The sequence below is a fragment of the Homo sapiens genome, chromosome 10 (assembly GCF_000001405.40).
Source record: "Homo sapiens chromosome 10, GRCh38.p14 Primary Assembly".
NCBI classification, from domain to species: domain Eukaryota; kingdom Metazoa; phylum Chordata; class Mammalia; order Primates; family Hominidae; genus Homo; species Homo sapiens.
In genome coordinates, this window is record NC_000010.11 from 100,208,906 (window position 1) to 100,223,343 (window position 14,438).

Genomic DNA, 14,438 nt, shown 5'->3' on the forward strand with positions numbered 1-14,438 from the left:
ACAGGACCCGTTCAGAATTAAATAAGTTTTATTGGGGGTCTGAAGAAACCCCAGGCCTCCACAAACAAGTTTATTGGGGGTCTGAAGGAACTCCTTAAACCTCTGTGATTTAATAGGAGACAAGATAAGGGTAATCACCCCAGCACCTGGACCCATTTAGAGTAAGTAAATTTACTGAGGCTCCAGAGGAATGTCTTCAAGACTCAGACCTCAGCTACAGATTAAAAGAAGTTAATCACTTATGTCTTTAGATGAATGCAAACTTACACATAGACATATAGCTTAGAAGATAAATAAACTACGGAAAAACTTTGTAATTTTGAGTTGGTCTGGCGGTAATTTCCAGGCCTTCTACCTGTAACTGGTTACAGAAATAAAAACTCCCATCTCTCCCAATTCATCTGCATCTCGTTATTGGGCCGCGAGAGTAAGCAGCCTGACCCTCAGTTTGGTCTGGGAACAGGAGCAGAAAACTGGCACCAAAGAAAAAGTCTTGCAAAGTTCAAAACAACAAATGTTTCATTTCTATCCTGTTCACCTTGCAAAGCAATGATAAGAGTTGGGAGAAGGACAAAACCAAAACAAAATGTGCGGCCTCCCAAGGAATTCCAAGTATGCATAAAAATTGCAGGGCACGCAATCCCTCTAGATTTCACATACTCTAGGGATATTATAATTAATTTTCTTACAACTCCATCTAGAACACATTGAGAGGCTGGTTTCCGAGGATCCAGAGAAATTCCTGTCTCTGAAAGAAGTTCTTGAGAACCAGTATTTATTCCAGTTTCACGCTCAATACGAGACTGTAGTGAATGAAGACTTTCATCAGGTGGTAACAGAAAAGAAATTATCTTTGCAGAAGTCATATTTAGGATGTGTACTATCTGTATAAATAAGAAAAAAAGGTAAAGTTATTGATTATTTGTTACATAAAAGATTCGCTGCCAGATACTAAAAGGTGAATATGGGCAAAAGGCATTATTTCTACATTAAACAAGGCTCACTCATTCTCCAAAGTGAGATCTCCTTTTATAATTATAAAATGACATTCTGAAAACTGAACAATTTCCTTTTCTACAATAGATGTTAGTTCCAACAATAAAATTTCAAAGTTAAGAAATTTTCAAAATTAAGAAAAATCCCAATTTGAAAGAACAAGTTATTTATTTATTTATTTATTTATTTATTTTTTTTTTTTTTGAGACGGAGTCTCGCTCTGTCGCCCAGGCTGGAGTGCAGTGGCGGGATCTCGGCTCACTGCAAGCTCCGCCTCCCGGGTTCACGCCATTCTCCTGCCTCAGCCTCCCAAGTAGCTGGGACTACAGGCGCCCGCCACTACGCCCGGCTAATTTTTTGTATTTTTAGTAGAGACGGGGTTTCACCGTTTTAGCCGGGATGGTCTCGATCTCCTGACCTCGTGATCCGCCCGCCTCGGCCTCCCAAAGTGCTGGGATTACAGGCGTGAGCCACCGCGCCCGGCCTAAGTTATTTATTTTGAAAAAAACATTATCATAGACCGAAAAGGAAACATTCCAATTCATGAAGTGCCTAACAGAAGACAACCACAGGCATAAACCACTTTCACATAACATCCCCAATAATTAGATCTTTTAATCTCCATTTTAAACAGAGAAAGAAACCAGAGTTCTAAGTTAAATAACTTGTTAGGGATCACACAGCTAATAACTGGTAGAGCTTGGATCTTAACTCTTTTTGTGTCTGGCTACTTCATGCTGCCTTAAGAAATCATCTGATAGAAGAACTAGGTCTCTCTTTAAACAGGAAAAAGCATTGTTATGCGTGGTGAGTTACCTTTTTATAAGACAACCTAATCCCAGAGCAGCAACCTGCTTAAGGGCCCCAAATCAAGTAAGAACCGTTTTATCACTCTCACCTAAAGCCCCAGTAAAAGTAGCCTGATACATGCCAAGTGAGTGTGAGGCTGAGTCAGGTGGGGCTCTGTCCCCACCTGTCAGCGCGGACAGCCACAGAGTTGGACTTCAGTCTTTTGAAAAGAACATGATTTTAAATTCTCTTCCTTCCAGTATCCTTAGAAAAGCCATACGAAATTAATGCCTACATTCTCCATGCCTTACATTGACTAGTATATGCAAATGATTAAAATTCTCTCTGCTGAAAATCCTTACTACAAAGGTAAGGCATTAATCCAAGTCCACTATTATTTTTTTCCCTTTAAAACACAAATCTGAATTGATGTTTTCAAAGACACAAAACTATAGACAACAGTACAATAAGCCCCCTCCCAACCCTGTGAATGCCTCACCTAGTTTCAACCATCATTTACATAGAGCCTATCTTGTTTCATCTATCATAACCCCCTCTCCTGATTTATTGCTTTATCTTTTACATATTTTATTTTGTGACAATTTAATTTGACATATAAAAATGTTATATATTTGAGTTATACAACTTGATGTTTTGATATACGTTGTGAAATTATCACATTTCAGCTAATTAATATATCTGTCACCTCTTCATAGTTGTCATTTTTGTACCTTTTTTTTCTTTTGCTGCCGTAATTTTTGGACCTTTTGATAAACATCTCTACATACACCCCCGCACCCGCATCCCTGCAGCCCCTGGCAACTATGATGCTATGGTCTGCTTCTATTAAATTTAACTATTATAGATTCCACATGTAAGTGAGATCACGCAGTATTTCTCTTTCTGTGACTTGCTTATTTTACTTAACATGTCCTCCAGGTTCATCCACATTGTCCTAAATGGCAGAATTTCCTTCTTTTTCTTAAGGTTGAATACTATTCCACTGTGTATATATACCACTTTTTCCCTATCCATTCATCTGTCAAAGGACATTTAGGCTATTTCCAGATCTTGACTATTGTGAATAATGCTGCAATGAACATGGGAGTGCAAATATCTCTTCACAAGCCTGCTTTAAAATCCTTTGGATATATACCAAGAAATGACATTGTTGAATCTTACAGTTCTATTTTTTTTTTTTTTCTTTTGAGACAGAGTCTTGCTGTGTCACGCAGGCTGATGTGCAGTGGCATGATCTCTCAGCTCACTACAACTTCCACCTCCTGAATTCAAGCAATTATCCTGCCTCAGCCTACGGAGTAGCTGGGATTACAGATGTGCACCACCATGCCCAGCTAATTTTTGTAATTTTAGTTGAGATGGGGTTTCTGCATGTTGCCCAGTCTGGTCTCGAACTCCTGGCCTCATGTGATCCACCTGTCTCAACCTCCCAAAGTGCTGGGATTACAGGCATGAGCCACCATGCCCGGCCAGTAGTTCTATTTTTAATTTTGAGGAACCTTTGTACTGTTTCCCACAATAGCTGTAATAATTTACATTCCCACCAACAGTGTACAAGGGATTTCTTTTCTCCCACATCCTCACTAACGCTTATCTTTTTTCTTTTGGATAATAGCCATCCCAACAGGTGGGGGGTGATATCTTAGTGTGGTTTTGATTTGCATCGCCCTGATGCTAAGAGTTGTTGAGCACCTTTTCATATGTTTGTTGACCATCTGAATTTCTTCTTTTGAGAAGTGTCTAATTCAGGTCCTTTGCACATTTTTAAATTGGGTTATTTACATTTTTGGTATTGAGTTGCATGAGTTTCTTATAAATTTAGGATATTAATTTCTTATTGGATGTATGGTATGCAAATATCTTTTCCCAATCCATGGGTTGGGTTGCTTTTTCGTTTTGTTGATTATTTTTTCTACTGTACACTTTTTAGTTTGAAGGCCCACTATTATTTCCACTTACAAATCCTAACACAGATGCCCAAATAAGTGGTGCTACAGAAATACTAAACTGAGGCTGGGCGTGGTGGCTCACGCCTGTAATCCCAGCACTTTGGGATTACAAGACAAGTAGATCACTTAAGGTCAGGAGTTCAAGACCAGCCTGGCCAACATGGTGAAACCTTGTCTCTACTAAAAACACAAAAATTAGCTGGGCTTGGTGGCACAACGCCTATAATCCCAGCTACTCAGAAGGCTGAGGCAGGAGAATCGCCTGAACCTGGGAGATCAAGGCTGCAGTGAGCCAAGATCGCGCCACTGCACTCCAGGCGACAGAGTGAGACTTTGTCTCAAAAAAAAAAAAAAAGAAAGAAGAAAAAGAAAAAAAAAGAAAAAAGAAAGGGATACTGAATATTCCCAACACAGAGAAATTATGTTTTAGCTGATGGATATGCTAATTACCCTAATCTGATCACTACACAGTGCATGTATTGAAACATCACTATTTACCCCATTAATTTGTATAATTATTTGTCAATTTAAAAAATTAGGCTGGGCGCGGTGGCTCACACCTGTAATCCCAGCCCTTTGGGAGGCCAAGACAGGTAGATCACTTGAGGACAGGAGTTTGAGAACATCCTGGCCAACATGGCAAAACCCTGTCTCTACTAAAAACACACAAAAAATTAGTTGGCCATGATGGCGCACACCTGTAATTCCAACTACGCGGGAGGCTGAGGCACGAGAGAATCACTTGAGTCTGGGAGGTGAAAGTTGCAGTGAGTGGAGATTGCACCATGGTACTCTAGCCTGGGTGATAGAACAAGACTCTTATCTCAAAAAAAAAAAAAAAAATTAAAAGCGTATTAACAATTTTGTTTGTTTGTTTTTGAGACAGAGTCTCTCTCTGTCACCCAGGCTGGAGTGCAGTGGTGCGATCTTGGTTCAATGCAGCCTCCACCTCCCAGGTTCAAGCAACTCTTCTGCCTCAGCCTCCCGTGTAGCTGGGACTACAGGCATGCACCACCATCCCTGGCTAATTTTTGTATTCTTAGTAGAGATGGGGTTTCACCATGTTGGCCAGGCTGGTCTCGAACTCCAGACCTCAAGTGATCTGCCTGCCTCCACCTCCCAAAGTGCTGGGATTACAGGCATGAGCCACCACACCTGTATCAACAAAATTTTAAAAAAGAAATACCAAACTGTTTTTATAACCTGAAGCTGATCCTTTTCATGTGAATTCCAAATGTCATAACACAATTGCCAGTATTTCTCTTATTAAGAGACTTTTCTTTAATATAAATCTTTATGTTTAAAAGGGGAGTAGGGAAATCTTCAAAACTGATACGGATTTGCAATACAATTATACTACCTGAGACTTTCCATGCCTTCCCAATTTAGGCAGATTTCACACTATGACAGCTGCCACTTATAGCAATAGAAAATCCTATAATGGACATCTACTTTTACACAGGATATTAGAGTATGTCATCATGGCATCTCACTACCAAAGCTCCAGGCCAGAAGGAAGCAAAAGAAAGAAGAGGAAATACAACCTAAATTTATCTTTTTGCTCACTATAATATTTAATGAGTACCTACTATTGGTAGGTACATACTATTGGTACATACTATTAAGTGTGTTGTGGTGGTAGTAGTGGGTATACAAACTGAGTACCTTATGATCCTTGCCTTCCATACAGTTATAGTCAAACAGAAGATATTAAGATATACTAAGAGAACTAAGGTACCAGGCAAAATGTGATAGGTGTTATAATCAGTGTAAAGTATCATACACTTGGCAGTAGGAAGCAGGCACTTCATAAAGGAGGCACTACTTGAGCTAAACTTTGAAATGAAAGACTGAAATGGGAAAAGACTGAAAAGAGTTCCTTTAGGCAGAAAACAAGGTGAGCAGAAGCAGAAAAGTAGAAAGGGATGGGCATAATCAGAGAATACAATTAATCCAGTTCAAATGTACCTAAAATGATGGCCTCTCAGGGCATTAGTAAGAGATAAGTCCAGGAGTGTAAGTTGATATGAAACCAAGATAGGTTTTGAGTACCAATGAAAGGGTCTGGACTTTATTCAATAAGTGAAAGAAAACTATGCAAGCCTTTCTAAATTGAGAACCTGGCAAGCTCAAAATTGTTAAGATATTCAAAAGATAAATTTGATAAAATAATTGGATATATCGATTGAAGAGAAAGGAAGAGTCAACACATCCAAAGTTTCCCACCTGGGTAACTGGAAAGGTGACAGTGCAAATAAGAAGTGTAGGAAATCTATAGAGGTAGATTTAATGGGCCAGGTGCAGTGGCTCATGCCTGTAATCCCAGCACTTTGGAAGGCCGAGGTGAGCAGATCACCTGAGGTCAGGGTGTCAAGACCAGCCTGGCCAACATGGTGAAACCCCATTTCTACCAAAAATATAAAAATTAGCTGGACACGGTGGCAGGCACCTGTAATCCCAGCTACTCGGGAGGCTGAGGCACGAGAATCACTTGAACCCAGGAGGTGTAGGTTGCAGTGAGTTGAGATCGTGAGACAGAGTGAGGCTCCATATCAAAAAAAAAAAAAAAAAAAAAAGAAGTAGATTTAATGGATAGAACAAATATGTTCAGTTTTTAATAAATTAAGTTGTAAGTGCCAGTGGAACAGCCAGGTAGTTATACAGTTATACAGCAGTTATAAGTCCTTGGCAGAAGAGTCACAGCTACAGAGATAAATAACTTTAGGAGTTAGCCATATGTAGTTTATAAGTAAAGCTATACAGTTGAAGAGGCTGCCTAATAAAAGAAAGGAAATGTAATGGAAAAAGAGAGAACCAAGAAGAGACTCAGAATATAGTTACATTTAGGGGCGTGAAAGAGGAGGCAAAAAAAAATAATAATTAAATGCTACTGTTTCATCATTATTTTTAGTGGTAGGTTCAGTACACTTCTTTCAACTCTTCTACATATCTAAAGATGTTCATAATAAACAGTTGGAAAATATGCATACAATCAGACTTGCTAAGCTATTTTTTCAAAAGGGAAATATTTCAGTAACTGTTTTGTTGCTTCCTTTTTTAAGTGAAAATCAAACAGACATCATTCCTTTCTTGTACAATATATATAAACATTTTGGGAAAATGTCCTACAGTAACACCAAGCTGTTTTGCAGTTCATGCTTCTGTACTTTTGCTCATGATGCTCTGCTGCCTATAAATCTCTCCCGCCCTCACCCTTTCCCTAAAAACTCTCATTCTTCAAAATTCAGTCCTATTATCATGTCTAACAAGCATCCTTGAAGCTTCTTGAACTACTATAACTAGTACCTTATACATACCTTATTCTGCATAACCTCATAATAATATTGATGCTTTGAGGAAGATATTACTGTCCTTGAGATAGAGAGACATTTGCTCAGGTTCACAGATAGGTAAATAGTGGTGCTGCAAACTGAATTAAAGTCTGTAAACTATAAACTCCATAATGTGGACTCTTTCCCCGTGCCCTATAACAAGAGGCTCACAGATGCCCTTCAGAGCAGAAACTATGCTATGATTCCTATGACAAGTATGAAACAAATGCGAGATGTGGTTCATTCACAGCTGAAATGTTTCAGAGGCAACACAGAACTAAAGCCCTGCTTTCCTAACACACTGAGGGATAATTTATTCTTTGGCACATTAGAAGGAAACCAAATCAAGAAGAAGCCAGGTATCTTTTCAGTGTTAGCCAAGAATGACATCCACATGGCCTCAAGTTTCTATTTAATAAAGTATGCCAAGGTCGGGCACAGTAGCCCACATCTGTAATCTCAGCACTTTGGGAAGTCGAGGTAGGAGGATTACTTGAGGCCAGGAGTTCAAAACCAACCTGCTCAACACAGTGAGACCCCATTTCTACCAAAAATTTAAAAATTAGGCAGGAGAGGTGGCGCACACCTGTAGTCCCATTTACTCTGGAGGCTGAAGCAGGAGAATCACTTGAGCTCAGGGGTTGCAGACTAAAGTGAGCTATCTCGCCATGTACTCCAACATTACATGATTATAATTTCTCATTTCAATTTTAGAAACCTGTATACTACAAACAATCAATACAAATGTAAAGACTATTGATGAGAGTTGTTTCTGGGTACACTGCATAATAGAACTATCTATAGCTCTCATTCATATCAATAAATAATTTACTAAGAACCTGATACATGCCCTGCTCTGTACAGAATGCCATGGTTAGGAAGGGTAGGGTGGGTGATTGTTAATAAAAGAAGTAAAACAATCCCAACATTGAAGAAGACAACAGTCTATATGAAGATGCATGAATGGAAGACGAGAAAGAGAATATAGCCTTTAAATGACAAATTTTGTGGCAGAGACCATTTAAAGAAAAGCTCTTAAAGATATGCCAGTGTAGGTGAGAAGATACACAGAAATGGATATCCAGGCAGAAGGATAGCATCTGTCAAAGCACAAAGGTAGATAACGGGTTTGAGGCATAAGGAGCAGTGACAAGCTGGTCTTGTATGAGGTAAAGGTTAAGAGAAGCAGGTACAAGGCAAAACTTGGTTAGGGAAAGCCCCCCCAAAAAACCAAGCAGATCAGTTTACACTTGACTTGTTAAAAAAAAAAAAAAAAAGAACTATGTTAGTTTCTTGGGCAGAAGAATAAAAAAGCATTTTCAGAAGATGAGATAGGTAGTACATATTGAATGAACTATAGGTTAAGGAGTAAGTGCAGAGCCATGAAAGGCAGATAGGAACCTTCCTTACCAAATCAAATCCAGTATGACTAGACATAAATGAATCGAGGATAATGGCAACAACATGGGAAAAGGTAAATAAAAAAGTTGCTTCAAAGGAGTAATTAACAAAGACCACAGAGAAGCAAACTGAGACAGCTTGCTAAATAAACTTTTTAAAAAATCAGCTCTAAGAATATAATTTTCTTTTTCAAATAAGCATCAGGGCTGGACGCAATGGCTCACGCCTGTAATCCCACTTTGGGAGGTGGAGGCGGGCAGATCACCTGAGGTCAGGAGTGCGAGACCAGCCTGGACAACATAGCGAAACCCTACCTCTACTAAAAATACAAAAATTAGCTGGGCATGGTGGTGCACACCTTTAGTCCCAACTACTCGGGAGGCTGAGGCAAGAGAATCGCTTGAACCTGGGAGGCGCAGGTTGCAGTGAGCCAAAAACATGCCACTGCACTCCAGCCTAGGTGACAGAGTGAGACCCTGTCTCAAAATAAATAAATAAATAAGCAACAGGAAAAGATTATTAAACTGTATTTATGCTAATTTTCCAAATAAACTTGTTACTTTCAATGCTGGTCTTATGCAGTAGACCCATTAAGACTAACCTTCAAATTCAAAATGTGATCCATTAATACAAAACATCTTGGCTGCTTCAAAGTAAGGTCAACAGGTCCTCCTCTCTGCTGAGGGTCCCAATTCAACATCAACTGTAGCCAGTTTTCCATGGGTTCTACTACTAAACTAGAAAACATACAAAATAGGGTGAAAATCAAATCATTATGTTCCAATTTCCCTTTATACTGTTAGAAAGGTAATTTTGCAGGTTGTCCATTTTCTTTCCCACATCACTTGTCTGTACCATTTCATAAATTACTTTCAAATTCATGAAATGACAGGGGACAAACTTTTTTCCATCAAAAACTACTCAAAACTCCACATATGTTAGTTACTGACAACTCTGACGGATGAGTCCAAATCCATTCTGCAAATAACCCATTTACTTCATTATCCTAAGAGCCTTCTTAGGACATATGTCAAACAGTTAAATGGCAGTTCTTGTTTCCACCAGACCTGTGCTGTCCAAAATGGTAGCCACTAGTCCCAAGTGGCTATTTATATTTACTATTTATTCAAAATTCGTTCTCTAGCCAAACTAGCTACATGTCAAGTAGTCAATAACCTCATGTGGCCAACAGAAATATAGAAGGTTTCTACATCATCACAGAAAGTTCTACTGGATAATGCAACTTGAAACAGACAACTACTCTCCTGCTCCTTTACAACTCTGGAGAAACTGAGGCAAACTTCCTTAACTAAAATATACTTACCTACAAAGGCTATTTGGTTGAGGTAAATGGCTACTAAACCGAACTTCTCCTGACATCTCTTCACATGCAAATATACACTTTGGATCCTTCTTCTTAATCTTCTCATGCCTATAAAATCAAAAGCTACCTCAGTTGACAAAGTGATTCTCACAAATTAAGATTTCTTGCCATTTAATTATATTTAATTGTATATTTCAAAGGCAATTAAACAATTAAAGAAAGAAAAAAAAAGACAAATGAAAAAATTTCCATTCCCATTAAGCATGCCCAAGTTCTCATCCATTTCTTACCAGGTAAATGGCTGCAGATGATGCAAAAAAGGCCTATATCCAGCAATACATTCAAATACCATGGTCCCAAAGCTCCAATAATCAACAGTGGCTGTGTAAGGCTTATTCTCAAAGAGCTCTGGGGCCTTCAAAAGAGAAAATGCTTTAAACACCAACACTGTATGGGAAAAGCTACTTTATTTTTGACCTACTATATTCATGATCTTCAGAAATAAGAGAATCCTATACACACTTAAATTCAAAGAAACAAAACAGGTCTCACCAGATACTGCAGTGTTCCCACAAAAGATGTACACAGACTTCCTTGATCAACATCTTTGGCATATCCCAGATCAATTATTTTATGTATTATCTGCAAAATAATAAGACAGATTAAGTATTAAATGGTAGAGAAATTTAAAAAGGAAAGACAACAATATCCTTACGAGGCTGTAGACAGGGTAGTGGTGAGGACCTTGGGCTCTGTAATAACACAAAAATATTTCAAGTCTGAGTGCCACCACTTAACTAGGCATGTGATCTACCAAGTTATTTAACCTCTCTCAGTAATCTAATTGGATGACTAACAGTCCCTGCTTCACAGAATTGTTATTAGGATCCAATGAAATAACGAAAGTAAAGAAGGTAACACAGTGCTTGGTACATGGTAAAAATTGAATACAGGTGGGCTATTAATTTTTATTTTACTATATTCAAAATAAGCTCAATCCATTAAACTGGAAAGTAAAGGCAAGGGTGACTTCCAAACTTGAAGAAGCATCATACCTCCTTATAGTAGATTAAATGTGAGTAAATACTTAGATCTAACTTCAGGAATGTCCTGAAGTCTTTGGATTAAAAAAAAAAAAAGCAGAGATATTTGGTGCCAAGCATACGTGAAAGGTTCCTAAGAGAAGAGGCATCACCAAGGTTCCAACACCTCCAAGAGGCCAACAACTATTTTCACTAACTAAAGAGACGGCACACACAACTCAACACAAGGTTCAGACTCTTGGCCTTTAAGTCTTTATTGGAATGAAATTTGGATGCTGGAAACAAGAAAACTGCTTAAGTTACCAATGAAATGAACATTTTAAGAGTCAATTCACAATTTCTGGTTCTTCTCCAGATGACTCATTTAAATTGGGGGAAGGAAAATAAGTTTTAAAAATATATATACTTTCTTTTTTTTCTTAAAGTGGACCCAGGATGTGCATGTATGTGTTTTGGATGTGCTTCATAAGAATAAAATAATAAGTGTTAACATATTATGTATTCACAGCCTGTATCTTTGCTAGATACTATGATGGAAAAACAGACTTGAACAAGACAGGTGAAGTCTAGGAGCTGGGTTAAGTATGAAAAATGAAAAAAAAGAAAAAGAAAAAAAAAGCAGGTGCTGTTCCTTCTCTGATGGAACCACTGTTTAGCAGAAGGGACAAAAAAACTAAACACAAAACTACAGTTCAGTGTGGTGAGGTCTGAAATGGAAAAAGTAAGACTGTTATGGGCATACAGCAAAGACACCAAAGCTCAAGGACTAACTATATCAGAGAGACTATATTCAATAGGCATGAAACATTACTTCAGGTTTCACCTACCTTTCCACCAACATCCTGAAGAACTATGTTTTCAGGTTTTAGATCTCGATGTATAATTTTGTTTTCATGCAAATATCGAATCCCAGACCCTAAATAAAGTTTAAAATATACTTTAAAGTAACAGAAATCATTGAGTTAAAAGAAAAATTCACCTCACATTTTGTACAAATCTACTCTGATGCTCAAGTTTATATGGATCATCGTAACTACACAACTAATACTACAGTGTCCAGGTTTTCTTCACAGAAAAAAAAGTAACATTAAACAAATACTACAAAATTATACTATATGTTCATTTAACTCATTAGAATTAACACCAAATAGAAATGCAACAAGCAATTGGGAAAATCCCTGAAACTCTTATAAGCCTCTTTCTCCCACCTAAATCACTCATTTCAATTGGACTTTAGCCCTCATGACCTTGGAAAAGAGGCAAAACCAAAATCTATGGGGAAACAAATTTTTGGTTTTTGAGGTTCCTCCAAAAGGTTAGGTACTGGTTATTTTAGGAATTTTTCTGGAGTCATTCTGATTAAGCAGAGATTTTTCACCCTGAAGAGTTGACTTGGCTGGGTGCGGTGGCTCACGCTTGTAATCCCAGCACTTTGGGAGGCCGAGGCGGGCAGATCACGAGGTCAGGAGTTTGAGACCAGCCTGGCCAACACAGTGAAACCCCGTCTCTGTTAAAAATACAAAAATTAGCCAGGTGTGATGGCGGGCACCTGTAATCCCAGCTACTCGGGAGGCTGAGGCAGGAGAATCGCTTGAACCTGGGAGGCAGAGGTTACAGTAAGCTGAGATCGCACCACTGCACTCCAGCCTGGGCAACAGAGCTAGACTCCGTCTCAAAACAAACAAACAAAAAAGAGTTGACTTGAGGACCCATCCCTCAAGGAGATGTAATTCCACTGTAAACAAAATTACTATGTCAATGGTAGGGGGGGAGAGAAATTGAGTAAGGTCATTTCACATGATTTTTTTGTCAGCTATTGGAACATCTATTAGACAAAAAAAGGACTCTTAGCCACAAATAAATAATAAAATATCCTAGTTTCTTTTTGTGTGTGTGTGACAAAGTCTCACTCTGTTGTCCAAGCTGGAGTGCAGTGGTGCAATCTCGGCTCACTGCAACCTCTATCTCCTGGGTTCAAGCGATTCTCCTGCCTCAGCCTCCCGAGTAGCTGGGACTACAGGCATGCGGCATTGTGCCCAGCTAATTTTTGTATTTTTAGTAGAGATGGGGTTTCACTATGTTGGCCAGGCTGGTCTTGAACTCCTGACCTTGTGATCCGCCTACCTTGGCCTCCCAAAGTGCTGGGATTACAGGCGTGAGCCACCGCACCTAGCCAAAATATCCTAGTTTTAATTTAGCATCAATAGTAATAGATTTTTATAACTTCTTATAGATGTTGAAATTCTATAGACTTTGTATAGTGTATCAACAATTCTCCTGAATTCCCAAAAAGATCTTTTATGGGCCAAAGGGACATTACATTACAATGGTATTTTAATACTGATACGTACCTATATCACTTAGTAAAGAAAGTATCTGGCTTTCTTTAAGTCCACAACAATTTTCTGGTTTGTTGAGCAGCTAAAAAAAGAAAGAAATCTAAAAATCTGTTCTGCAAATTGCTGGGCTGCAATAGTGACCACACATTAATTACTATACTCTAAAAGAATATTCAAATGAGAAAATAAGTCATAATAAAATACAAGGGAATAAAATTACCAAATCCATACTGAGGGCATGTAAATTTCATGATAAGGCTCATAAAAGTAAAAAGAGGCAAAAAGCATTTGAAACTGGAAAAGGCTGACAAATCTCATGGATATATATAAAAATGGTCATATGGGCACATTTAAAATTAGGTAGAAAAAAAAGATTGCAATACAGAAAACAACTTTTTATAAGCACCTTAACCACTGAAATTTTCATCTAACACCATTGCTATAGTCCCATCAAACAGCAACAACAAAAATGCATTTTCTAAATCAGGAGTCAACATTTTCTGTAAGGAACCATATGGTAAATACTTTAGGTTTTGCAAGTCACATAGTCTCTGTTAAAACTACTCACTTCTGCAGCCATAAGAAAGCAGCCATAGACAATGTGTAAAGAAATGAATGTGGCTGTGTTCCAATAAAACTTTATTTACAAAACAGGAAGCAGACCATAGTTTTTCCGATTCTTATTCTAGTTTATTATATTTAACATGATTCAAACATTGCTAAAGTTTGTGATTTACTCTCTCTCATCTCAAAACATCCACACTACCTTTCGGAGATCTCCTCCAGAACAGTATTCCATTGCTAGAAGAGGCACATCATGAATCAAAATATTCAATTCTTCAGGAACATCACAGGCCTTTACAACATTGGCATGGTTCAACCTAATAAGAAAGAAAAACATTACAATAAAAAAAATTATTTCCAATAAAAAGGGACTGGATTTGAAATGCTACTTAATTGTGGGTGGATGAACAGAGGGGGAAAGATCAGTATTATTTATAATATTCTAATTTCTGATTTGTATAATTAAAAATTAGTAATTTTTTAAAAGAAAACACACATAAAAATACCATCACTATTACTACTATTACATTTCTAAGTGCCAAGCAGTAAACATTTTAAATATATTAACTCAGTTACTTGTCACAATAATCCTATTATAGGTAGATTTATTAATACTTTCACCACACAGGAGAAAATTGAAGCACAAATTGGCTAAGTAACAAGATCACACAGTGAGTAAG

General features: G+C 38.0%; 1 protein-coding gene across 17 annotated transcripts in view; it reads right to left on the bottom strand.

Annotated features, from left to right (window-relative positions):
- The window catches only part of CHUK (component of inhibitor of nuclear factor kappa B kinase complex), a 43,278-nt gene that overhangs the window by 22,587 nt on the left and 6,253 nt on the right, over positions 1–14,438 (bottom strand). For 16 of the 17 annotated variants that reach the window (NR_199797.1, NR_199800.1, NR_199799.1 and 13 more), the window contains 8 exons: positions 13,961–14,075; positions 13,207–13,276; positions 11,683–11,771; positions 10,365–10,454; positions 10,103–10,227; positions 9,813–9,920; positions 9,090–9,225; positions 690–884 (listed from right to left, as the gene is read on the bottom strand). Coding sequence is in view for 9 of the 17 variants with exons in the window: in XM_047424542.1 (XP_047280498.1) it covers positions 690–884; positions 9,090–9,225; positions 9,813–9,920; positions 10,103–10,227; positions 10,365–10,454; positions 11,683–11,771; positions 13,207–13,276; positions 13,961–14,075 (928 nt within the window). In the remaining 8 variants the exon portion in view is untranslated. The remainder of the gene's footprint in view (positions 1–689; positions 885–9,089; positions 9,226–9,812; positions 9,921–10,102; positions 10,228–10,364; positions 10,455–11,682; positions 11,772–13,206; positions 13,277–13,960; positions 14,076–14,438) is intronic. The other variant, NM_001441066.1, reaches the window with a different exon arrangement.